The sequence below is a fragment of the Homo sapiens genome, chromosome 1, assembly GCF_000001405.40.
Source record: "Homo sapiens chromosome 1, GRCh38.p14 Primary Assembly".
Classification (NCBI taxonomy): Eukaryota; Metazoa; Chordata; class Mammalia; order Primates; family Hominidae; genus Homo; species Homo sapiens.
In genome coordinates this window covers 45,206,984-45,234,047 of record NC_000001.11, presented here as the reverse complement: position 1 = coordinate 45,234,047, position 27,064 = coordinate 45,206,984, and the positions used below count along the sequence as shown (strand labels likewise).

Sequence of the window (27,064 nt, the reverse complement as noted above, 5' to 3'; positions counted from 1 at the left end):
AGTCTCACTGTGTCGCCCAGGCTGGAGTGCAGTGGCATGATCTCAGCTCACCGCGACCTCTACGTCTTGGGTTCAAGTGATTCTCCAGCCTCAGACTCCCAAGTAGCTGGGATTATAGGTGCATGCCACCATGTCTGGCTAATTTTTGTATTTTTAGTAGAGACAGGGTTTCACCATGTTGGCCAGGCTGATCTCAAACTCCTGACCTCAGGTGATCCACCCACCTCGGACTCCCAAAGTATTGGGATTACAGGTGTGAGCCACTGTGCCTGGCCAAAAATTGAATTATTTTAAATCTCACTTTCCAATTATTTATTTATACCTCATGCATGAAGTTGATCAGATATTCTGAGGAACTCTCTGACTCATGCTATGGGGTAATTCCAGGCTTCCATGGCTGGGTCCCAGTTCTAGAAAGGTGGCCTGAAGATTGGATACTCCCTACCCAATAAGGCATTTATTTCATAGAATTGCATGAAATTGAACTACTAAAATGGTGCTGACATGCTGACTTGGGGTAAATTAAATTGTTTATATGGGTAGGGGCCCTAGAAAATTTTTTTTCCAGTATCCTTTACTTTTTAGGGGCAGCCCTAACCAGGTGTGTGGTTGTCCCCCTTCGGGGAGGAGAGAAATAGCATATCAGGAGAGTTCTGTTCTCCTCTTTGTGAGAACATTCACTCTGGCAAGAACCACTACTCTCTCTATCCTTCTGGGACCTGAGAGAAAGGTAGTTCACTATATTTCCCCCAATCTCACCAAAGCCTCTGAAATGGATCATCATAGGAAAGTAACTTATCATAACTGCATCCTTGACCAAAAATTTACCCCTTATTTCTATTTAAGTACACATGAAAGCATGGCAAAAATACATTTCAGGGAAACTGATTCCTTACCCCTGCAGCATGCTGTCTGTTGCACAAGAGCTAGTTATGTATCTGAAGTGTGAATGGGCCCAGTTGAGTCTTATTCTGACTTTCCATCACATTGAACTTTGGAGCCTTTTCAAGTCTGTGAAGTTGAGATGGGAACCATTATGAAAAGCTAATGTGGGCCGGGCCCAGTGGCTCACGCCTGTAATCCCAACACTTTGGGAGACTGAGGCGGGCAGATCATAAGGTCAGGAGTTTGAGACCAGCCTGACCAACATAGTGAAACCCTGTTTCTACTAAAAATACAAAAAACTAGTCGGGCACAGTGGCGGGCGCCTGTAATCCCAGCTACTCAGGAGGCTGAGGCAGGAGAATCACTTGAATCCAGGAGGCGGAGGTTGCAGTGAGCCAAGATCGCACCATTGCACTCCAGCCTGGGCGACAGAGCGAGACTAAAAAAAAGAAAGAAAGAAAAGCTAATGTGAATGTTCTGTTTACTTGTGGCTTTTATATAATTTATTCATGCACTTTTAGGCTAGCAGAATTATTCCCATGTTAGTTTAGTATTTCTAATTAACCAAAGTGAACATCACTGATGAGTGGCAAGGCCTCTCAACTGAAGGATGTCTTTATGCTGAAATCAGCACTACTCTGGCAGCAAAGGAAAGACCCTAAGCCTATTCTTCTGCACTGATGAGTAACTTTCTGGGTTCTTACCTGCTCTTAGCTTTTGTTCCTGGGAGAAAAGAGATTGTGATTTTTTTTTCTACGTCTGAATATGCCATCAACCAACAAATTTTCTATATTTAAAAATACTGATTCCCATAGAACTTGTGGCATAAAAAACAAGTGAATTTAATATAAATACAAAGTATTAGTTTGGTGCAAAAGTAATTGCAGTTTTTGCCATTACTTTTAATGAAAAACCGCAATTACTTTTGCTCCAATCTAATAATTAGCTGGCTAGGCATATTTTCTAGTGAGGAGTCCCGATGTCCTCATGGTCAGGACTCCACTCACCATATGAATAAGGTGTTGAAATGATATTTATTTGGTCAAAATGAGAGAGTTATGGTTTGAACTTAAGAAGAATAGCTGGTTCATAATTTACCTGTGGATGGATGTGGGAGACTGAACAATATGGTTTAGAGGCCCAGAAAAGATGTGTCATCTAATGTACAAATTAGAGAGCATGACACTAGATGTAATGTTTTAGTGTAATCAAAAGAAGTTATGAACATATTCAATTCACAGATGCGCTTTTCATTCTCCCTCAAAATTTTATATATTCTCTGATGACTATGTTACTTGTCTATTTTTTCTTCTTCAGACTTCTCATTTCAGCCCAAGAAGAAGAAGCTTCCAGTAAATATATGATCATTCCTAGAAATTTCACATGATTTATGTGACTCAATTATGGGTTTTGTTTGTTTGAGTTGGAGTCTTGGTCTGTCGCCCAGGCGGGAGTGCAGTGGCATGACCTCAGCCTACTGCAACATCCGCCTCCTGGGTTCAAGCAATTCTCCTGCCTCAGCCTCCCAAGTAGCTGGGATTACAGACATGCGCCACGACACCCGGCTAATTTTTGTAGTTTTAGCAGAGACGGGGTTTCACATGTTGGCCAGGCTGGTCTCAAACTCCTGACCTCAAGTGATCCCCCGGCCTTGGCCTCCCAAAGTGCTAGGATTACAGACGTGAGCCACCATGCCCAGCCTCAATTATGTTTGTAATGCTGCTTTTCCCATGCTGCCAAATAGCACTGTTTCACCATGCTATTTCGACCTAAGGCACCCACTATTTATCATCAAGGATCATTGCCAATGATCTTAAGAACTGTCTTTTCTTTTTTTTTTTGAGACAGGGTCTCGCTTTATTGCCCAGGCTGGAGTGCAGAGTGCAGTGGCACGATCTTGGCTCACTGCAACCTCCGCCTCCAAGGTTCAAGCAATTCTCCTGCCTCAGCCTCCCGAGTAGTTGGGATTACAGGCATGTACCACCATGCCCAGCTAACTTTGTATTTTTAGTAGAGACAGGCTTTCTCCATGTTGGTCAGGCTGGTCTTGAACTCCCGACCTCAGGTGATCCGCCCGCCTCGGCCTCCCAAAGTGCTAGGATTACAGGCATAAGCCACTGCGCCTGGCCAAGAGTTGTCTCTTCTTAAAACCCCTCTCTCCAAAATTTTAGGCTTCATTACTCCTCAATCTGTATTCTTTCTAAATGGGGTAACTAAGATAAATAAAAGCTTACTAGGTTTCATCTTGTCAAAAAACTCTATGTCTTGGTATGTTTTCTGCATTTAAAAAATTCACATTGACTTAGGAAAGTGTGATCTAACACTCAGGTTACACTCGGGGCAACTGGCAAGAGTAGGTGGTATGTGTTGGTGATAGTGAGACAGTAAGAGGCTGCTTCCTACCTACCTGCTCCAGGTGGCAGCAGCACCCCAGAAGGAAGGATCAGGGAAGAACTTTCTGAGCAGTGGTAAACCTCCTACAAACCTCCCTCCTCCTCTGGTAGAGGAGTGGGCAAAGTTAAGGCAATGAAGCCCTGACCAAATACAACTATGCCTCAACTAATCCTCTAAGATAGCTTATTTGGATTTTTCCCATACCTACCAGTACTACAATACATGTTGCTGTACACAGGTGAACTTGTCTGATTATTCCTTCGCAATATATATCTACAGCTGAAAATTGCTGAGTTGAAGATATATGAATAATTCTTAACTTTTTGATACAGGTTCTCAACTTGGCCTCCAGAAAGGTGGGTGAAAGTTTCTATTTCCCCATATTCTCACCCATATTCAGTGTTAAGGATCTGTTTCTTTTGCTAGTACAATAGGTTAACTATTGTTAAAATATAGGGTTGTTAGCAGATAATCTTTGTTTTTGAGTTTTGTAGGAACATCTCTGGAGTGTCAACATTAATATACAACATTTGTTGGTGGTTGATATAGTTTTTTTTAATGTTAGAGCGGTATTCTTCCTTCTTTCCTATTTTACTAAAACATCTTTAAATCATAAGGAATATATGCTATACATTATTAAATGCCTTTGGCAACATTTTTTTAAGATCGTGTTCAACCTTTTGGCACCTTTTAAGGTGCTCACATAATTTTTCTTCTTTGAAAATTTATGTGTTAAGTTGTATTAATAGATTTCCTAACAGTGAACCATTCTTACGTTCCTGGAACAAATCTTATATAGTTGTGGTGGATAACTCTTTAATATTCTGCTGAATCAGTGTGCTAAAGTTTTATTTATGAATTTTGGTCAAGTGAGATTTTTCTGTAACTGTTTTTGTGTGCTGTACTTGTGAGGCCTTTGAATTGGGGTTATAGTAGCATTGTGAAAGAAATCATGAACATTTTCTCCTTTTTCTTGGTCTGGAAAATTTTAAGGAATATTGAAATTATATGTTTATTTATGGCTTGAAATAATTTACCTTCAAAATTATTAATAGATGAATCTTGTGCCTTTTCTTGAGATTTTCTTGTATATCTTTTTCAAAATCATTCATGTTTATTGCTACGTCTAGTATTTGGCAAAATGTATTTTGTGAGACACTAGTCCTTTGAAGTAGTCTTTAAAAAACTTTCATGGCCAAAGAAGTCTTGGTGACTCACAATGGACATAACCATGTATTCTGCTGTCAAGAAAAAATGAGGTCTCATTCGTTTAACACAGAATTTCCAAAATGTATTTGATGTGATTTTCTTTTATAACCTAACACTTGTGGCAGAAGCTGCTGATTTTTCAGTCCCAGGATTTATTCTTTCTATCTTCCTTTGGTATTAGAATCCCCAAATCTGTACTGGGCACATGGGTACTCAGAACAAAGACAAAATTTTTCTTTATTCTTTTGTTTTTGTCCTTCTTTTAGATAGTTGCGACTGTATGATTAAGTTCTGGCCAGCAGGATGTGGGTGAAAGTGACATGTGTGTCTTCAGAGTGGTAGCTTTAAAGGAAGGGGCATGATCTACACAATAATTGCCCCTCTTACCAGACTTAATGGAGGGTGCATCTTGGACAAGATGCAAACTGCATGTAGGGTATCCCTGAACAACAAAATAAAAGAAGGCTGGGTGTCTGCCTCCAACAAATAACCATTTCAGCCCTGGGTTTTTATAAAAAAATACAAAACAAAATTTTGTCTCAAACCAAGACACCATGAATCTCCCTTGCCAAAGAAAGTAGCTTGTCTTCCTGTGTTTGCGTACACTAGCCTTGCTTTGGTTGAAAACTGGTAACAACCTAACTGGGATAGTTTTGCAAAGGGATATGCATCCTCCTCAAGAATCACTACAATCACCTTTGGTTGCCACTGGAATCATAAGTAGGATCCAATCTCAGTCTGCTCTAGGGAGTCAGATATTGTGTTAGTCCTTTCTTGCACTGCTATAAAGAAATCCCTGAAACTGGGTAATTAATAAAGAGAAGAGGTTTAATTGGCTTACAGTTCTGCAGGCTATACAGGAAGCATGGCTGGGGAGGCCTCAGGAAACTTTCAATCATGATGGAAGGGGAAACAGGAACATCTTACATGGCCAGAGCAGGAGGAATAGAGAGAATGGGGAGGTGCTACACACTTTTAAACAACCAGATCTCGTGAGAATTCACTCAATATCATGAGAACAGCAAGGGGGAAATCTGCCTCCATGATCCAGTTCACCTCCCACCAGGCCCCTCCTTCAGCATTGGGGATTACAATTTGACATGAGATTTGGGCAGCAACACAAATTCAAACCATATCAGATATACGGTATGACCCAGGAAGAAATAGCTAATTCACCATTATTACACGGTTTGGCTAATATATACAGTGTTAACAGAAACCTGAGAACATTTGTAGTAGGTTCTAAAGGTGTCAGACCAAGGTAACCGGTAGAATTAATTGATCATGTAGAATTATTAATTGGGGACACTTACTAGAGATTCCAGGTTTAATGTGTTAATGTATGCAGATGGAGATGACTGTAACAGCTTTATGAGTTGGTTGACTGAAATTTTAACTCAGGGGTGACATGTTTAATGAGGATGAGATACTGGAGCTTCACTGGCATGAAGTAAAGAAGGAAATCCAAACACTTAAAGGCATTGAAAAGTTGGAGTGAGTTTATTATGTGCAAACTGCACATTCATCTTCCCACTCTAACTCCTGAGGAGGCCTGGAAAACACTTCTGTCACTAGGGCATGGAGTGATACATACTGTGATTGCTTTCCTCTGTGGGAAAGGTATGACCATGTGAGTTGCTGCCATTGAAATGAACTCCCAGATTTCACTAGAAATGATGTGAGCCCAAGTAGCAGATATCAAATGACAGCACTTAACTGTGAAAGACAAGGTGGGTGGCTGCATTACTGTAAAGGGCAGCAGAGATGTTATCAGTAATAAAGATGCTGTGACCCTGTCTTGGTTTCTTTTGGCTGCTATAACAAAAATACCATAGACTGGATGGTTTCAACAACACACACTTATTTCTCACAGTTCTAGAGGTTGAGAAGTCCAAGATCAAAGTGCTGGCAGATTTGGTGTCTGGTGAGGGCCTGCTTCTTAGTTCATAGATGACTGGCTATTGTCTCATTGTGTGCTCACAGAGCAGCAAAGGCAAGGGGTCTTTCTGGGGGTCTCTTTCATAAGGAGACTAATTTTATTCATGGGGGATCCACCCTTATGACCTAATCACCTCCCAAAGGCCTCACCTTCTAATACCATCACATGGGGGGTTAGGATTTCAACACATGGATTTTTTTGGTGGGAGGGGGGATACAAGCATTCATTCTATAGCAGATCCGTAAGGAGCCTTGGTTTTAGCCAATTAATTATGATGTTCTTTGGAGTGAAACAGAGCAGCCTATCCTATGTCTGATAGCCAAAAACCCGACTTGAGTTACCACAATGGAGCATCATGGCCTCTCAGCCAGTTGACATACTTAAGCCAGTTTACAAATTGTACAGCCCTTGACTGAATGGGAGCCTTCTCTCCCTTAAGGAGTGATCCAGCAACATTAAATTCCATCCAGCTGCAAGAATACATTATAAAACCTTCTCTAGGCCTTATCCAAAGAGACCTTCGCCATTTGCTAGAGTGGCTGTAAGCTAGGAAAAAAAAAAGGAATATCCAGACCTTTAAGGTATTAACAGGCACTGTCTCTGAATTGATGCTAAGTAATTGGGATCCAAAATGACACAGGTGGCTCACAGTGGGGCTATCGGTGACAGGTGATAGATGGAATCTTAGCCTAAGTTAAAGTAGGACTGCTTTGTCCACAGAAATATCCTATGGTTGTTTCCCTATCTCCTGAATTGGCATAAACATGTTTATGAGCACCATTGTGGTAGAATGGGCTAAACCTGTCTATCAAAATAGCAAACCAAAAGCAATACTGCATCCCTACAGGAATTGCAGATATCAGTGCCATCAAAGGCTTGAAACAGCTCAGATGCTGATAACTTTCATGTCCACATTCAAAATACCTGTTTCAGCCAAGTGCAATGGCTCATGCCTGTAATCCCAGCATTTTGGGAGGCCGAGGCAGGCAGATCACTTGAGGTCAGGAGTTTGAGACCAGCCTGAACAACATGGTGAAACCCCTGTCTCTACCAAAAATACAAAAATTAGCTGGGCATGGTGGCACATGCCTGTAATCCCAGCTACTCGGGAGGCTGAGACAGGAGAATCACTTGAACCCAGGAGGCAGAGGTTGCAGTGAGCTGAGATGTGCCATTGCACTCCATCCTGGGAGACAAAGTAAGACTCCGTCTCCAAACAAAACAAAACAAACAAACAAAAAAAACACCTGTTTGGCCTCTACAGAGACTGGATGGATCTTAGAGAATGACTATAGATGATCAGGTCACAAGACAATACCATGAAAGGATGGGATTTTGTCTTTCAGCATGCAGTATTATGCTTTGAATCAGAGATCATTATATGGCACTGTCTCTTCCATAACCAGAAACCAGAAATCAAGAGATGGAAATGGCTATTCTCTCTATTACATGTAATAACCCACTCACCAGATTTTTGCTTTCCCCTTCAGCTACTTTGAGCTCTGTTGGTTTGGAGATCTTAGTTTCTAATGGGGAATAGAACAACGATTCCACTGAATTAGAAGATGAAACTCCATTTGACTATTTGGGCTCCCTACGTCACTGAACCAACAGGCAGATAAAACAGTTACTTTATGCAATGATTACTTCCTTAGTACCATGGGAAAATTGAGTTGCTGCTACACAATGGAGCAGAAAGAACGATTCTGACACCAGGGGATTCTCTGGAGCTGCTTTTAATACTTTCTTTTCCCTTCCCTTCCCTTCCCTTTTCCTTCCCTTTTCCTTCTCTTTTCCTTCCCTTTTCCTTCCCCCTCCCTCCCTCGTTTCCTTCCTTCCTTTCCTTCGTTCCTTCCTTCCTTCCTTCTTTCTTTCTCTCTCTCTCTCTTTCTTTCTTTCTTTCTTTTCTTCCTTCCTTCTTTCCTTGATGGAATTTCGCTCTTGTTGTTCAGGCTGGAGTGCAATGGTGCTATCTCGGCCCACTGCAACCTCTGCCTCCCAGGTTCAAGCAATTTTCCTGTCTCAGCCTCCTGAGTAGCTGGAATTACATGCACCTGCCACCACTCCTGGCTAATTTTTGTATTTTTGGAAGAGATGGGGTTTCACCATATTGGGCAGGCTGGTCTCAAACTCCTGACCTCAAGTGATCTGCCCACCTGGGCCTCCCAAAGTGTTGGGATTACAGGCGTGAGCCACTGCGCCCGGCTACTTTTAATACTTTCACACCCAAAGTTAAGGTTACAGAAAACTATAGCACTTTTTAAAAGCACAAGACTATTGAGGACTTTTCAGGAATGAAGTTTCAGCTCACCTCTACATTATAAAAGAGCAAGATGGCTAGTGGAAGAAGGAAGTCATAGATACCACCTATGGCCAATTATAGACGTGAGGACTGTAGTAGCATTACCTATTTTCTCTTTGTTTACTATATGTATGTTTACTTGTATATTTAACTATTTTATCATTCACTCTCTTTTTCCCCTTATTATTTTATATACCAGTTGTTGGAGGTTAACTTTACAATTGTGTCTTTAGGTGGAAGAATATTCAGTGGGACCATGACTAAATTTGAGGCTAAATTATTAGGTTGGTGCAAAAGTAATTGCAGTTTTATATCGTGAATTTTAAGTCATTATAACTAGGCTCAAACACTTATTTATTAATCAAAATAGGAACCATTAAAATCAACACATTTTTGCCAATGAGAAATAAGTTTATTTATTCCTGTAGCATAAACATCTGTGCTTCGGGATTCAACAAACTCTCTTGGAAAGCATTTTCTGCATCCTGCCGGTCGTAGAAGCATTTTCCCTGCAAAAAGTTGTCGACATACTTGAAGGAGTGGTAGTCAGTTGGAGAGAGGTCAGGTGAATATGGCGGATGAGGCAAAACTTCATAGCCCAATTCCTTCAACTTTTGAAGCGTTGGTTGTGCGACGTGCAGTTGGGCATTGTCATGGAGAAGAATTGGACCCTTTCTGTTGGCCAATGCTGGCTGCAGACATTGCAGTTTTCGGTGCATCTCATTGATTTGTTGAGCACACTTCTCAGATGTAATCATTTTGCCGGGATTCAGAAAGCTGTAGTGGATTTGACCAGGTGCAGTGGCTCACGTGTGTAATCCCAGGGAGGCCAAGGCAGGCGGCTGAGGTCAGGAGTGCGAGATCAGCCTGGCCAACATAGTGAAACCCCATCTCTACTAGAAAAATATAAAAATTAGACGGGTGTGGTGGTGCACACCTGTAGTTCCAGCTACTCGGGAGGCTGACGCAGGAGAATCGCTTGAACCCGGGAGGCAGAGGTTGCAATGAGCCGAGATCAAGCCACTGCACTTCAGCTTGGGTGACAGATTGAGACCCTGTCTCAAAAAAAAAAAAAAAAAAAAAAAAAGCTGTAGTGGATCAGACCGGCAGCAGACCAGTGACTATGACCTTTTTTTGGTGCAACTTTGGCTTTGGGAAGTGCCTTGGAGCTGCTTCTTGGTCCAGCTACTGAGCTGGCCATTGCCAATTATATAAAATCCACTTTTCGTTGCACATCACAATCTGATCGAGAAATGGTTCGTTGTTGTTGGGTAGAATAAGAGAAGATGATACTTCAAAACAACAATTTTTTTGATTTTCAGTCAGCTCATGAGGCACCATTTATTGAACTTTTTCACCTTTCCAGTTTGCTTCAGATGCCAAATGAACATAGAATCGTCGACGTTGATTTCTTCGGCAACTTTTATTTATTTATTTATTTATTTATTTATTTATTTATTTATTTTTTTTATTGATCATTCTTGGGTGTTTCTCGCAGAGGGGGATTTGGCAGGGTCATAGGACAATAGTGGAGGGAAGGTCAGTAGATAAACAAGTGAACAAAGGTCTCTGGTTTTCCTAGGCAGAGGACCCTGCGGCCTTCTGCAGTGTTTGTGTCCCTGGGTACTTAAGATTAGGGAGTGGTGATGACTCTTAACGAGCATGCTGCCTTCAAGCATCTGTTTAACAAAGCACATCTTGCACCGCCCTTAATCCATTTAACCCTGAGTGGACACAGCACATGTTTCAGAGAGCACAGGGTTGGGGATAAGGTCACAGATCAACAGGATCCCAAGGCAGAAGAATTTTTCTTAGTACAGAACAAAATGAAAAGTCTCCCATGTCCACTTCTATCCACATAGACCCGGCAACCATCCGATTTCTCAATTTTTTCCCCACTCTTCCCGCCTTTCTATTCCACAAAACCGCCATTGTCATCATGGCCCATCCCCAATGAGCCGCTGGGCACACCTCCCAGACGGGGTCGTGGCCGGGCAGAGGGGCTCCTCACTTCCCAGTAGGGGCGGCCGGGCAGAAGCGCCCCTCACCTCCCGGACGGGGCGGCTGGCCGGGCGGGGGGCTGACCCCCCCCCCCCCACCCTCCCGGACGGGGCGGCTGGCCAGGCAGAGGGGTCCTCACTTCCCAGTAGGGGCGGCCGGGCAGAGGCGCCCCTCACCTCCCGGACGGGGCGGCCGGCCGGGCGGGGGGCTGACCCCCCCACCTCCCTCCCGGACAGGGCGGCTGGCCGGGCAGGGGGCTGACCCCCCCACCTCCCTCCCGGACGGGGCGGCTGGCCAGGCAGAGGGGCTCCTCACTTCCCAGTAGGGGCGGCCTTCTTCGGCAACTTATTGTGTAGTTGTAAGAGGATCAGCTTCGATGTTTGCGCTCTTTTGGTCATTATCAACTCCCAATGGCCAGCCACTGTGCTCCTCATCTTCAAGGCTCTTGTCTCCTTTGCAAAACTTCTTGAACCACCACTGCATTGTACGTTCATTAGCGTTAGCAGCTCCTGGGCTAAATGCATTGTTGCAAGTTGTCTCTGCTGCTTTACGACATTTTTGAACTTGAATAGGAAAATTGCTCAAATTTGCTTTTTGTCTAACATCATTTCCATAGTCTAAAATAAACATAAAATAAACAGCAAGTAATGTCATCAGCAAAATAAATAAATAAATAAATAAAGCGAGAGTGTCCATTAAAATAATGTATAACATAACCACATTTATTTGAGAGTGTATCCCAATATCAAAAGGCAAATTCCAACAATGCAAAAACTGCTGTTCCTTTTGCGTCATTAGTATAACTAATGATGGATATAATGACCGGACTATGTGTCTCCTCATTTTGTGGAGTTGGTGAGAAATTCACTTATATAAAGTTTAACCGAATCTTTTTAGGTAGAAACATAGAGTTGTTTTATTGTTGTATGGAAGTTTGAATGTGTGTAAATGGGTGCATATGGAAGCCAAAGGGATGAATTGTGCCATTTATTAATTTATTGCTTCTCAGATCCAAATGTACCCTTCTTTGCCATGCTATTTAATATTGGAGATGGACCCTGTAAACAGGTTTACTTTGTCAGCTGCTTGATATTAGTCTTGTCAATAGGGAGTTCTGGAGAAACACTGCAAGGCCATAGAAGAAGAAAGATACTTCATTTCCTGGTTCCACTGAGCTGGTTTTTGACATCATGAAGGAGGCCTGGTATTGCTCTCCTCAGCAGCCAGCTTTGCCCTGCATCCTTTAGCATATTTCTCTGCTACCTAGCAGGTTGCTTTTACTGACCAGCTACGGCCAACCTGCGTCCTTCAGCAAGTTTTTCCATCAGCCAGTGGGGTGCCCCTACAAAGCAGATCCAGCTGCCTACATGGTCCGGCAAGTTTTTCCTCCCTCTGGTGAGTCAGTCCTATGAGCCAGCTCTGGTCAGCAACATTCGGCAAGTTCTTTCACTAACTGAAGGCATCTTGTTCCTGAGGCAGCTACTCCCTCTCCAAAGAGGTCTGAGTCTTAGCTTAGTAGTGGGACTCTTCTAAGGCTTTTGTTCTTTCCTTGTTCCCTTGTTTTGCTTTTCCTTCTTAAATTCCAGTCCTCACTGGGCTTGTATGACCACACTCTCCACTTCTTGTATGACTCAGTCTCTTTTGTTGCTTCTCCCTGTATGTCTACCCCTCAATTATTGGTGGTCACTTGGTTTCATCCTAGTTCCTCCCTGCCTCCCCACCCTCAACTCTATATACTTGTTCTGGGTGATCTTAACTTTTTCTGTAAGATCCCAGCTCTTACCCTAACCCTAACCAAATTCTTCTTTGTCCTAAGTTATTCTCCTAGGCTTCAGACCAATTTACACTTGGATTTCTCACAAGTACCTCAAGCCTAACATGTCCCAAAAGTGAACTCATCATTCTTTCCTTGAAATCTGCTACTCCTGAATTTTCTATTTTGGTTATTGACTTCAACTTTTACTACATAGTCCAAGTTAAAGATTTGAAACCACTTTCTACTTTCTTTATTTTTCATCAAAGCTTCTTTATTGCTCCAGGTCTGCTTAGTCCACCTCCCAAATAGTTCTTAAATCTGCTTTAACATTCTTCTCCTAACCCATTGAAATATCCATGGAACCATTCTCATTGCCATTATTTTCTGTCCTCTCCACACCATTTTCATGCTACTGCCATATTTCTACCTCCTCTTTGTATACAATTTAATCTGGTCATTCCCTTCTTAAAAATCTCTGCTGGCTCCTAAGTGCTTACAGGATAAAATGTAAGCTCCTTAGAATGGCATAAAGGGTCCTTCAGCAGGCGTCACTAACTCTTCATGTTCCAGTCAGTTCAAACTTTTTGCCATAGACCTTTCAAATCTAGAAATTTGTGTGCCTCAATTCTGGGAAATTTTATTGAGTTCTTCCTTTCCTTTTTCTTTTTTTAGAGACAGGATCTCACTCTGTAACTCAGGCTGGAGCGTAGTGGTGTGATCATAGCTCACTGTAACCTCAAATTCCTGAACTCGAGAGATCCTCTAACCTTAGCCTCCTCAGTAGTTAGAACTACAGGCATGTGCCACCAAGCCTGGCTACGTTTTTTAAAACTTTTTTGTAGAGATGGGGTCCCACTGTGTTGCCCAGGCTGTTCCCAAACTCCTGGCCTCAAGCAAACCCTCCTGCCTTGACCTTCCAAAGTGCTGGGATTACAGGCATGAGCCACTTTGCCCAGCTTAAATTATTTCATTGATGATTCCCTCCCCTTTGATTTTTTTGGGTGACTGCTATTATTCTGATGTTGTACGTTTTGAACTGGTCATCTAGTTTTCTCATCTTTTCTCTCCTATTTTCCATTTCTAACTCATTTTGCACTACTTTAAAGAGATTTCTTCAACTTTATTAATATGTGAATTTCTGCTATTATGTATTTAATTTCCAAAATTCTTTTTCCTTTGTCCTCTAAATGCTCCTTTTATTAATTCATTCTTGATGACACCCTATTCTTGTTTTATGCATGTGTTATTCTCTCTTCTCTCTGTGGAATTTTCTTCTCCTGGCAGATGCTTTATTTTCCCTAAGATTTTTTTTTTTCCATTTGTTGTTTGGTTGTTTTGATATATGTCTTTGGTGTGAGACATATATCTTCTTCAAAGATATAAAAATTCTTGGTTATCTGATCATGATTACAAGTTAAAGAGCTGATTGGAAGCTTGAGCACAAGGTGGGGCTTATTCATTTTGAGTTTCTCTGTGAACAGATCAACAGGAGCCATTTGTTGGAAAAACCCCTAATGTCAGTATTTTTAGGTCTTTCTTTTGGGATGGTCAGAGTGCCCGGTGAGAGTCTTGCATTTCCTGCCTGCAGAGGTCCAGCTGCAGCCAATGTTCTGGGAGCAGTGTGGGAGATGAACTAAGAGGGTCTCAGCATTTAGTATGTGTATTGTCATCTGATTTCTCTGTTTTTACAAGGTATCCAACCCTTTAACTATACCTGGCACCCCCAGACCAGAGGTCTTCATCATATCTTCCCCAGAAAATCAGCCTCCAAACTTCTACTGTAGTGGGAGAGGGATGGTCATGTAACCATAGGGAAATGGGGGAGGAGATGTAGGAAAGTAATCACTACTCAAATAGCTGTTACCCAATCCTCATTTTAGCCACTCTCCTTCATCCCTAGTTTCAGAAGTAATTGATACTGCCAGTTTTTATTAATGCCTGGGCATTAAGGAGATACTGGTGAAGACATAGAGATCTTTATATCTAGACCACTTATTCAAATATGACAATGAAAAGAGAGTGTGAAATATAACACAAGTCAGAGAGAACTGAGGGGTCAAACAGAGACTCTTTTCCTCTCAGAATAAGAGAGTTTGTACATACTGGAAGGGAAAGTGAAAATCCTCAGCGGAGAGACAGAAATTGAGAAGGTCTGAAAAATAGGGGCGAATTATGACAGGAAGATCCTGAAGGACCCAGAGAAGGTGAGTTGGAGGGCATAGGCAAAGAGCTTAAATTTGGTAGGAGGCAGGATAAAAAGAAGGCAGGATGCTGTGATCTTTAGAGAAAGAAAAGAAGAAGTCAGTGCAATGGCCTATTGTTTTTTGTAGAATAAGTGGATAACTCATCTTCTGAGGATAATAAATTCAGAGCTTTTTTTTTTTTTTTTGAGACGGAGTCTCGGCCTGTCGCCCAGGATGGAGATGGAGTGCAGTGGCGTGATCTCGGCTCACTGCAACTTCTGCCTCCCAGTTTAAGCGATTCTCCTGCCTCAGCCTCCCGAGTAGCTGGGACTACAGGAGACTGCCTTTGCGCCGGGCTAATTTTTGTCGTTTTTAGTAGAGATGGGGTTTCACCATCTTGGCCAGGCTGGTCTTGAACTCCTGACCTTGTGATCCACCCGCCTCGGCCTCCCAAAGTGCTGGGATTACAGGCGTGAGCCACTGCACCCGGTCGTTCTCGTCTTATATATGATTCTGGTAATTATTCCTTATTACTTTTCAGAAATTGAGGCAGGTCCAAGTTTTGTGGGACCAGGAGCCTATGCAATCTAGGTGTTGTCTTTAAGAAAAGGAACACAATTATGAATATAAGATTAAGCACAAAAGCAAATTAGTTACAAGAGTTTAAATGGGGCCAGGTGTGGTGGCTCACGCCTGTAATCCCAGCACTTTGGGAGGCCTAGACGGGCAGATCTCTTGAGGTCAGGAGTTCGAGACCAGCCTGGCCAACATGGTGAAATCCTGTCTCCACAAAAACAGGAAAATTAGCCAGGCTTGGTGGCATGTGCCTGTAATTCTGGCTACTTGGGAGGCCAAAGAAGAGGAATTTCTTGAACCCAGGAGGCAGAGGTTACAGTGAGCCGAGATCACACCACTGTACTCCAGCCTGGGTGACAGAGTGAGACTCTGTCTAAAAACAAACAAACAAAAAGGTGCGGTTTAAAAGCAGCCAGCAGCCAGTGCGGCTGGACGCAGTGGCTCATGCCTGTAATTCTAGCACTTTGGGAGGCTGAGGCAGGTGGATTACCTGAGGTCAGGAGTTCAAGACCAGCCTGGCCAACATGGTGAACCCTCGTCTCTACTAAAAATACAAAAATTAGCTGGGCATGGTGGCGCACACCTGTAATTCCAGCTGCTACTTGGGAGCCTGAGGCAGAAGAATTGCTTGAACCTGGGATGGGGAGATTACAGTGAGCCGAGATCGCACCAATGCACTCCAGCTTGGATGACAGAGCAAGTCTCTGTCTCTACCAAAAAAAAAAAAACAAAAAAAGAAAAAAAAAGCAGCCAGTGCAAGTGAGGGGTTTTGAAACTTATGCTTCATTATAATCATGTTATATCTATTTTTATTCAGAGATCAAACCTTCTCCTCTTATTTAAAGTCCAGTAACTGGGTCTTTGCGTCTCTGTGTCTGAGTTCATTTTATTTTTGTTTTCTGCCCAGGTCGTCAGTTTCTCTTTCTTCTTCAGGACTAGAGACACAGGGTCATGGAATCTGAGAGCTAGAAGAGACCATAAAAGATCATCTGATTTAAACATTTAATTATGGAAAAGAGAATAAGATCCAGAAAAGTGAAATGATTTGCATGAGGCTCCATCACCAAGGAGATGTGAATTAGCACACCCTCAATTGCAAATATTAGAAACCCCACATCAGAATAGCTTTAATGAAAAAGACTTCTGGTTAACTATAATGGGTTGAACATTTGCATTTATTTCTGCTCCTTCCGCTAAATCTCTCTAGATCAGTACTTCCCAAACTTCAACATGCATATGAATCAACTGAGGAGCTCATTAACATGCAATGCATCCAAAAATTCTGGGGTGAGGCTTGATTCTACATTTCTATCAAGCTTCTAGGTGATGCCAGTGTTGCTGATCTGTGGATCACATTTTGGATAGTAAGGCTCTGGATCAGGGGCTGATGAACTACAGCCACAGCCTGTTTTTTGCATGGCCTGTAAAGCCTAAAATATATACTATCTGGCTCTATATAGAAAAAGTTTTGCCAGCCCCTGATCTAGATGGCAAAAAGAGAATGAGAAAAGTATAAACCCATGGAAAGAACAAATGCGATAACAACAGAGGACCAACATTTTTAAACAATCTGGAAGATGAAAAGCAGATGGACAAATTGTCTTTGCTGAATGGAGTAAGAAGAAACCCAGGAATCTTCATGGGGTGAAATCCACAAAGAAGGTTTGTTTAGATTACATCCCTTAGAAAAACTCAGGGCTTGGAGATACCAGGTGCCTGGAAAAGTTGATAAGGGTGGGTGTATAGGAAGAAAGGAAAAAGTGGTAGACACACAACTGGGTCACTGATATCCCCTTTTGAGAAGGACTATTTGCTCCACTGCAAGGAATGTGTTTAGCTAATAGTTTCCAGCTGTTAGCTTCATCAGGTTCTACCTCAGTTTGTGAGCTGAAGGCATGCTTTTCTCAGGGAGGCTCTAGCCAATGACTGTACATGTGCCTTGCCATTTGTGCTTAATGCAGGACTCTTTTAATGGGAAATCTTTGCCCTGAAGCCCTCTATTCGGCTGCAAAGGTTGGCACCATGGTCTGACCATTCTGCCTGTCTGATCCCACCATGCCTCTGAAAATGCCCCATCCCTATGAACCCTCAGAGTTGGGGTGGGGACAGTGGAGGAGATTAGTGCCATGTTTAAAGATTGAGAGGGTGCAAAGGATGCGAGGGGTTGTGATCCCTACTGTAACCCCATTTAACTTGCCAATATGGCCCCTGTAGAATCTAGAAAGTTTCCAAAGGATGCCTGTAGATTACCACAATCTCAACCAAGTAGCAGCCCTGATTGTATGGCAGTAGCAACTGCCATACTGGACATGGTATCATCACTAGATTAGATTAATATGGCCTCAGGTACATAGCATGTAGCCATTTTGTTGGCAAATGCATTTCTTTTCTGTCCTAATCAAGAAAGAATCAGAATGACATACATTCATATGAAACATAGTTATTGTATTAGTCAGGGTTTTCCAGAGAAGATCTACAAGGTAAGTTGGCAAGCTTACCTTGCCTGGAGACTCAGGAGAGCCAATGGCTTAGTTCTAGTCTGAGTCTGAAGGTGTAAGAACCGGGAAAGCTGAGAGTATAGTTCCTGTGTGAATTGTGTGAGGCTTGAGACCCAGGAAAAACCAATATTTCAGTTTGAGTCTGAAGGCAGGAAAAAAGCTGATGTCCCAGTTCAAAGGCAGTCAAGCAGGAAAAACTCCGTCTTAGTAAGGGGAAGGTCAGCCTTTTTGTTCTATTCAGACCTTCAGCTAGTTGGATGAGGCCCACCCACATCCAGGAGGGCAATCTGCTTAACTCAGTCTACTGATTTAAATGCTAATTTCATTCAAAAATACCCTCAGAGAAACACCTAGACCAAATATCTGGGCATCTCGTAGCCTAGTCAAGTTGACACATAAAATTAACCATTACAGTTATTTATAGTTTTGCCTTGGGGTTATATTACATTTCTTGCCCTTTGTCATAATGTAGTATGATCCAGACCATCTCAAAGAACATCTTGTTGATTCATTATATTGATGACATCAAGTTGACTGAAAAGCATAAGCAAAAGTTTGCTAGGATGCTAGTGGCCTTATTAAGACACATATGTGCTGTGCAGGGTGGGAGAAAACTACAGTGAATTGGAGACAGTCATTTTGGTAAAACGCTTAGGGGCCCAGTTTCAGGGCATGTTAGGATATCCCCTTCAAAGTGAAAGATAAAATTGTTTCATCTTGCATCCCAAGTACATAGAAAGAAGCACAGAGCCAGATAGGCCTCTTCAGGTTCTGAAGGTAAGAGGGACTGCACACCTAGGAATACTGTTCTAGCCCCTATACTGAGGTAACACAGAACGCTATCATCCTTTGTGGTGCTTGGAGTAGGAAGGGGCTCTGAAGCAGGGCCAAGCAGTAGGGGAAGCAGCCTTGATGCTTGGGCTGTATAAGCCAGCAGGCCCAGTTGAAGGTATCTGTGGTGGGAAAAGATGCAATATGGAGTTTATGGGAAGCCCCAGTGGAGGAATCACAGTGCAGGTCCTGGGAATTTGGAACAAGGTCATGTTAGTCACAGGAGAGGATTATATACCCTAAGAGAAATAGCTCCTGGTGCCTTACTGGGCCCTGGTAGAGACAGGACGCTTGACTCTGGGGCACTAAGTTACTTTGAGTATGAAACTTTCCATTATGAGCTGGGTTCTGTTAGACCTGCCAAGTCATAAATTCAGCCATACCAGCATCTGTCATTAGATAGAGACATTACATCCAGGACTATAACAGCCTTAGGAGGAATAGAGAGCATGAGCAGGAAGTCTAGGCCTCCTATACCACCTGCTATATTTGCATTATTGCTCTTCCCTAAGCTTGTGCTTATATCTATATGAGAGAAGGTAAGTCTGATGTGAGCGCTGAAAAAGGAAGAAAAAGCCTGAGCTTGGTTTATGGGTAGGCCTGTTTGGAATGTGGATACAAGCCAAAAATGGACAGTAATGGCATTATAGTCATATTCAGCAGTGGCCCTGAAAAATGGCGGAAAGGAAAACTTTTCCAAATGAGTAGAGCTGGGAGCAGTGCATCTGGCTAGCTGCTTTGTGAGCAGGTGAAAGTGGCTAGAGAGGTGAATATATATATATAGATTCCTGGGCAGTGACCAGAAGGCAATGACCAGAGGGCTTGGGCCCTCTGGTCAGGGACCTGGAAGGGAAAGGATTTTTGTGTCACATATTAATGGCCACCTAAAAGCATCCAACATGAAAGAGGCATTGAACAGTCAAGCAGACAAAAATGACTTGGCCAGGTATTGCTAACTAGCCTGGTGCTAACTAGCTGGCTGCCCCAGGACTGGTATGATGGGGACATGACAGAGAACTCATGGTGGCATAAGTGGAAATTACATATAGGCTCAACAGCAGGCATTCCCATCTATCAAGATTTATCTAGCTATTGCTGCCTTGAATGTCCAACCTGTTGGCAACCAAAATGAACAACTAACCTCCTGATATAGCATTGTTCCTGCTACAGGCCAACTGTATCACACAGCACACCAGTCCCTTTCATTCTAAAAGGGTCAAGAGTTTGTTTTCAAAAGGAGAGATACCTGCATATGAGTTTGCCTTTCCTGCCTACAGACCTCAAATAGCCCCAGTACCCAAGGACTTATGAAATGCCTGATCCACAGGCATAGAATTCAACAAGGAATAGCATCCAACCAGGGAACCCACTTCACAGCAACAGGTGTTTGAGAGTCATCTGGTACTATAGTGTGAATGTCCCTTCTAAAACTCATGTTGAAATTTAATTGCCATTATAACAGCATTGACAGTCAGGACCTTTAAGAGGTGATTAGGTCATGAGGGTCCTGCCGTCATTATCATGAGAGTAGGTTAGTTATCACAGGAGTGGGTTCCTGATAAAAGGATGATGTTTGGCTCCCATCCTCTGTCTCACAGGCTCACTTTCTTCCATTGTGGGAAAACACAGCACAAAGGCCCTCACTAGATGTTGGTGCCATGCTCTTGGACTTACCAGCCTCCAAATCATGTGTTGAATAAACTTACATTCTTTGTAAATTACCCAGTCTGTGGTATTCTGTTATTGCAGCACAAAATGGATTAAGATATCTGGCATCACCATTGAATACCCTAGTCATATCATATAACACAATATCCAGCCAGCCTCATAAAATGCTGGAAAGACCTTCTACAGGCATAGAAGCAACCAGCCTTATAAAATGCTTAAATGCCCTTCTATAGACACATTTGATATGCCTAGTTCAGAGACCACATTTTGAAGGGATGGGGTGGCATCCTTCAAGATGATGAGTATGCAATGAATTAGGCACCTCTATATAGTGTTGTGGCTCCAACAGAAATGAGAAACCAAGGAGTAGAGACAAGAGTGGCCTCATTATTTATCATCATTTACAATGAACTTCTGGGAGATTCTGTGCTTCCTGTCCCCACAACTCTAGGTTCTACAGGACTAAAGGTTCGAATCCATTGCACCCTAACTTACGGCTGCTGCCAGGGCATCAGAGACTCCTTGTGCCCAGGGGCTAGCAGGTGAGAAAAGGAGTTAGCATACTGGCAGGAGTCATTGACCCTTAAGCAGGAGGCAGTATTCCTCTTACACAGTGTGAGCAGGAAGGAATACGTGTAGAACTGAAGAGATCTTCCTGATTGCCTCCCTGCCCCAATGTAACTGTGAACAGACACATGGAATAATCCTGGCCTATAAAGGTATGATTGCTGAGAGCTCAGAACTCTAAGGACTGAGGGTTTGGATCACATCTCTAAGCAAGTTCCAAGACCCGCTGAGGTGATAACGGAGGGTGAGGGGAATTCAGAATGGATAGTGGAAGAAGAAAAAGATGAGTTCCAGTTGTGGCCCCAAGACCAGTTGTAACAATAGGGAATAGAGCTCATCCCATTAACTATCCTCTTCTGAGTTTCCCCTCAGGAAGAGAACTGTGGAAGATCTGCTCCCTGATTTGCATGAAGAAGTAAATTGGTGAGGTAAAAGAAGTGAACTGTGGCAGCCATGAAAATGCTCTTCTCAGATTTCTGGCTGTGGGAGGCATACTTTACTGACCACTTTAGCTGCTGTGCTCCAAAATCTATCCCTGCATTTACCTCTGGATAAATGCTTTCCACAGGCTGCTGCCACCCAGTGATTTAGTACAATGAGAAGGAGTACTAAGACAGGTCCATTCCTAGAAGGCGCAGGACTCCTCTGATGGGCACATTTGGTCTTGCCTAACTTTCTTAGAACTATACTGCACTCTAAGACCCCCCCATTCAACCTTCCTTCCTTTCTTTTCTCTTTCATCTGCATTGAGATCTGATGTCTCTTACAGTCTTCCCTAGCTTCTAGCTTCCTCTCCATGTTCCCTATTAAGCATAACGTCTAATAAATCTCTTGCACATCTAATCCCATCTTGACTAATTCACACCCTAAATGTCCATTAGAGGGAGAATAGACAACATGTGGTACATTTATATAGTGGAATACTACTAAGTATAAAAACAGAACAAACTGTCATGAGAATAACATAGGTGACTCTCAATTATTATTATGCTTAATAATAAACCAGACATAAAATAATTTATGCCATATTATTCCATTTAAATGAATAATTGGTATCTCTGGGAGGTGGGTATCAAGCTGAAAGGGACATAAGGGACTTTTCTGGAATGACAGAAACATTCTACATTTTTTCTATGTAAAGACCTCATGGGTGTATACATTTGTAAAAAGTCTTCCTAGAAAGCAGACTCAGGGGGAAAACATCATCAAGCTGTACACCTGAGAATTGTGCCTTTTAATTAAAAGTACTCAAAAAAAAAAAGATTGGTGCTTTTTTTTTTTTTTTTTTTTTTGAGACGGAGTCTGTCTGTCGCCCAGGCTGGAGTGCAGTGGCACGATCTCGACTCACTATAACCTCCGCCTCCTGGGTTCAAGCGATTCTCCTGAGTAGCTGGGATTACAGGCGCATGCCACCATGCCCAGCTAACTTTTGTATTTTTAGTAGAGACGGGGTTTCACCATGCTGGCCAGGCTGGTCTCGAACTACTGACCTCATGATCTGTCCACCTCGGCCTCCCAAAGTGCTGGGATTACAGGTGTGAGCCACCGCCCCCGGCGATTTGTGCATTTTAATGCATGAAAATTCCGCCTCAATAAAGTATTGAAAAAATAATAAAGGAGATTTATTGGTTCATGTAACTGGATGTTGATAGAGGGCTTCAGGTTTTGATTCAGCTGTTTAGCAATGCCATCAGAAATCTCATTTTTTTTTCATCTTTCCCATAAGTCTTTTGGTATGTCAGCTTCAACCCAAGCCTGGCTTACCTTTGTATTCACAGCATGCTACCAACAACCTCCTTTTCTGGGTCGAGGCACTAAGAGAATTGCTTTTGTAAGCTCTCTTAAAAGAGTAAGAACTTTCTTCTTTCCTGGAAGTTGCTAGCAAACCACATATCTTATTGGCCCAATAGGTTATGCTCATTCCTGAACCAATCCCTACGACCAGGGAAATGCCATACACTGATTGACTTATCTCTGCCTATCCCTGAATGAATCACTTTAGAATGAGATATGGAATTATGCCAGTTGATCAGACAAGTTAGCACTTACCCTTGGAGCTAAAGTCCTCTAATTTTATGGCTGCTCCATAACTGAAGGAAGAGAACCACGAAGTCTACCACAAGAAAAATAGCAGTTGACTGGACACAGTGGCTTACACCTGTAATCCCAATACTTTGGGAGGCTGAGGTGGGTGGATCACCCAAGGTCTGGAGTTCAAGACCAGCCTGGCCAACATGGTGAAACCCTGTCTCTACTAAAAATACAAAAATTAGCCAGGCATGGTGGCGGGCACCTGTAATCCCAGCTACTCAGGAGGCTGAGGCAGGAGAATTGCTTGAACTCAAGGGGTGGGGGTTGCAGTGAGCTGAGATTGCATCACTGCACTCCAGCCTGGGCAACAAGAGTGAAACTCTGTATCAAAAAAAAAAAAAAAAAAAAAACCAGAGTTGGGTAATAGGTCCAATCAATTCAAATCATGGTCTTCTAGCCAGGCATGGTAGCTCATATCTGTAATCCCAGCACTTTGGGAGGCCAAGATGGGAGGACTGCTTGAGCCCAGGAGTTTGAGACCAGCCTGGGCAATATAGGAAGACCTTGTCTCTACAAGTGTGGTGGCGAATGCCTGTGGTTCCAGCTACTTGGGAGGCTGAGGTGGTAGGATCGCTTGAGCCTAGGAAGCAGAGGTTTTAGTGAGCCAAGATTGTACCACTGCACTCCAGCCTGAATAACAGAGCCAGACACTGTCTGAAAAAAAAGAAAAAAAAAATCATGATCTTCCTTTCTAATTCCTAAATATTTCTCATTCCCACTTCATTCAGTGTTTATGATATACCCAAACAAAGTGTTATCAGGAAGCACAGGTGTCTATCTTCTACATTTTGAAATAGAAGCCAAAATAAATTTTATTAAATAAATGACTGGGTTGCATACAGTTTGCTTGTCAAATGATACCTAAATCCTCATCTCTGAGTCTCACTCTATCCTTCACCTTCATCTCATCATTTCATTCCATGCAAAGGGGTTGAGGATGTTTCACAAATGCAAATTTAAAGATTTATTTCTAAGGTTGGATCAAAATTTTCCTGACATCAAAAGAGTTGTATTAAGATGTGAGGTATTCTTCCTGGTTATTGATTTTTGGTATTTGTGTTTTCACCCTGGGGATTGCAATGCTGTAAAATAAGTATCTTTAGACTCCCACAGTCTCCTTGAAATATGTCAATTCTCTCATCAGAGAAGAGGGATCAAACAGAGAGAGGTAACACAGGCCCAGAGCCATTGCTAGCCCATATGGTCACTTGGTGAGAATGAGAAAGAGGCACCCAGATGCAACCTGGTTGGTGCAGGGATGGGCAAATGGAGTGCAGGCCAGATTTCAGCCCCTTTTTGCCCGATGTCTAGATATCTTTTCGTCCAATGCCTTCTACAAGCCTTTATTACCTCCTTCCCACACTGTTGGTTTATCTCCAAACTCATCTTTTGCCTCCAGACTTTATCTTTCTCCTGATTCATCCTACATATTTCTGTCTGGTTAATATTCCTAAAACACTGCCTTTTATCATATAACTGTCCTGCTCAAAATACCTTTATTAGCTTCCCTCCACCAACCTAAGAAAATGCAGATTCCTCAAGTTAGCATTTTACAATGCTTTTAAAAGCTTTTCACAATGTCTCCTGTCTCTCTTGCAGTCTTTTCCCACTATTTCTCACCACAAACTTATGGTCCAATTAATCTAGCATTCTTGTTATTCACAACCACATATTGCATATTCCCAAATGTCTTATTTGCTGTGTTATTACCATCTGTATTTATATATTTATGTGCTTATTTTTTATTTTTTATTTATGTTTTTGAGACACAGTCTCACTCTGTCTCCCAGGCTGGCAGTGGTATAATCTCGGCTCAGTGCAACTCCGCCTCCTAGGTTCAAGCAATTCTCCTGCCTCAGCCTCCCGAGTAGCTGGGATTACAGATGCCCACCATCATGCCCAGCTAATTTTTGTATTTTTGGTAGAGGTGGAGTTTCACCATGTTGACCAGGCTTGTCTCGAACTCCTGGCCTCAAGTGATCCACCCACCTCAGCCTCCCAAAGTGTTGGAATTACAGGTGTGAGCCACCACGCCCGCCTAACATGGAGCTTATAGTCTATTTTGGGAAACAGACATTAAGCAAATAAACACATAAATATAGGCTAGGCGCCATGGCTCACACTTGTAATCCCAGCACTTTGGGAGGCTGAAGCGGGCAGATCACTTGAAGCCGGAGTTTGAGACCAGCCTGGTCAATGTGGTAAAACCCCATCTCTACTAAAAATACAAAAATTAGCTGGGCATGGTGGCATACACGCCTGTAGACCCAGCTACTTGGGAGGCTGAGGCAAGAGAATCACTTGAACCCAGGAGGCGGAAGTTGCAGTGAGCCAAGATTGTGCCACTGCACTCCAACCTGGGTGTGACAGAGTGAGACTGCATCTCAAAAAAAAAAAAAAAAAAAAAAAAGACAGTAACTGATTAAATCAGAATAACATATTCATTGATTCAAAGTGCAAATATTTTCTGAACATCTTCTATGTGTAGGCATTTTGGCAGGTGGTAGAAATAGGCCCTTACATGGAAATGGTTCCTGCCCTTCCACAGCTCATAGTCTAGTTAGGGGGACAGGCATTAAAGGAATATTCGTTCTCCCAAAAAACTCTGATAAATTATAGGAAAGAAAATAGTGTGTGTTATGGAAGCCTGTAAATGTGGTACCAGATTCAAGGTGGAGTAGGGATTATGCTATTTTGCAGTAATCTATTTATAGTTATTTACAGATATAAATCCATTTACCAATATAAACAGATTTCTTTTTCTTTCTTTTTTTGTTTTTTTAGAGAGGGTCTTGCTCTGTTGCCTGGGCTAGAGTGCAGTGGCATGATCATAGCTTACTGTAACCTTGAACTCCTGGGCTCAATCAATCCTCCTACATCAGCCTTCAGGGTAGCTAGGACTACAGGGTGTAGGCCACTAATCCCTGCTATTTTTTATTTCTTGTGTAGAGATGGGGTCTCCAGTCTGCTCTGTTGCCCAGGCTGGTCTAGAACTCCTGGCCTCAAGGGATCCTCCACTTTGGCCTCCCAAAGCCTTGGGATTACAGGCATGCGCCACTGCATCTGGCCTAAACAGATACTTATTGAGTACCTACTACACTGAATAAGCAAACAATTTGAATTACTTCTAATTCCAGCCAGCCTGGGCAACATAGGGAGACCGCCCCTCTACAAAAATTTAGAATTAGCTGGGTGTGGTGCTGTGCATCTGTTGTCCTAGTTATTCTGGAGGCTGAGATGGAAGGATAGTTTGAGTCCAAGAGTTTGAGGTTGCAGTGATCACCCCACTGCACTCCGGGCTGGACATCAGAGTGAGATCCTGTCTCTAAAAAAACTTTTTTTAAAGTGAATTATTTCTAATTCTTACAACATTTATGTGTAGAAGCATTATTACTAGCTCCCTTTTGCAAATGATTTAATAGAATCATGAATAGCATCACACACAGCAAGTGTGATTCACACCCAATTCTGCCTGTGCTCTTTAATTCTGAGATTACAGCAAAACCAAACTGTGGCTCCAGCCTGTCTCCAATCATTTACTCTCTTCTTACTCTTATTTTATCCTACACTCTAAATCTCTCTTACTTTGAAGGGCAAACTCAACTATAGAAACTCTTTTAATACAGTTCTTGGAACGTTTTAAAGTTGTAGAGATTAGTTTGTCAGCAAATTCTGAAATAATCTGAGCTTTCTTGATCGAGCAAGAAACAGTAACTTACAATTGCGTGTTGTTTATGGAGTTAGTGATGAAGCTGCCATTCTTGAGCACCCACTATGTGCCAGGCAGAGGATAAATTATAGTGAAGGAAATAGACATGATTCTCACTCTCATGGAGTTGACAGTCAGACATTAAACAAATATATAAAAATACAACTATGTAAAGGTGTAGAAGACTGAGCCAAGTGAGGAAAACATGAAAGACCTAATTCAGATTGGAGGTAGGGGATCAGAGAATTCTACCAAAAAACACGCAAAAGTGTTTTGTATTCTAGGATGCAAGGTGCTAAACCCTCCAAAAGACCCCACCAGGATGCAACCCCCGTGGCGATAAGATCTTGATGCCCCATTGTCAAGGGGTGGTGCGACTTTGTCCCACTCTGGGGTGGGGTGACCGCCGGCTTTATCCTACATTGTTGTGGCGTGAGGTGAGTTTTCATCATCCG

The 27,064-nt window shown here is 42.6% G+C and overlaps 1 annotated feature.

Annotated features, from left to right (window-relative positions):
• Positions 10,107-10,747: an enhancer, noted in NCBI's record as "OCT4-NANOG-H3K27ac hESC enhancer chr1:45688973-45689613 (GRCh37/hg19 assembly coordinates)". NCBI's record gives its function as "activates a minimal SCP1, AML or CMV promoter by ChIP-STARR-seq in naive H9 embryonic stem cells {active_cell/tissue: H9 hESC(naive)}" and the evidence as "EXISTENCE:reporter gene assay evidence [ECO:0000049][PMID:30033119]".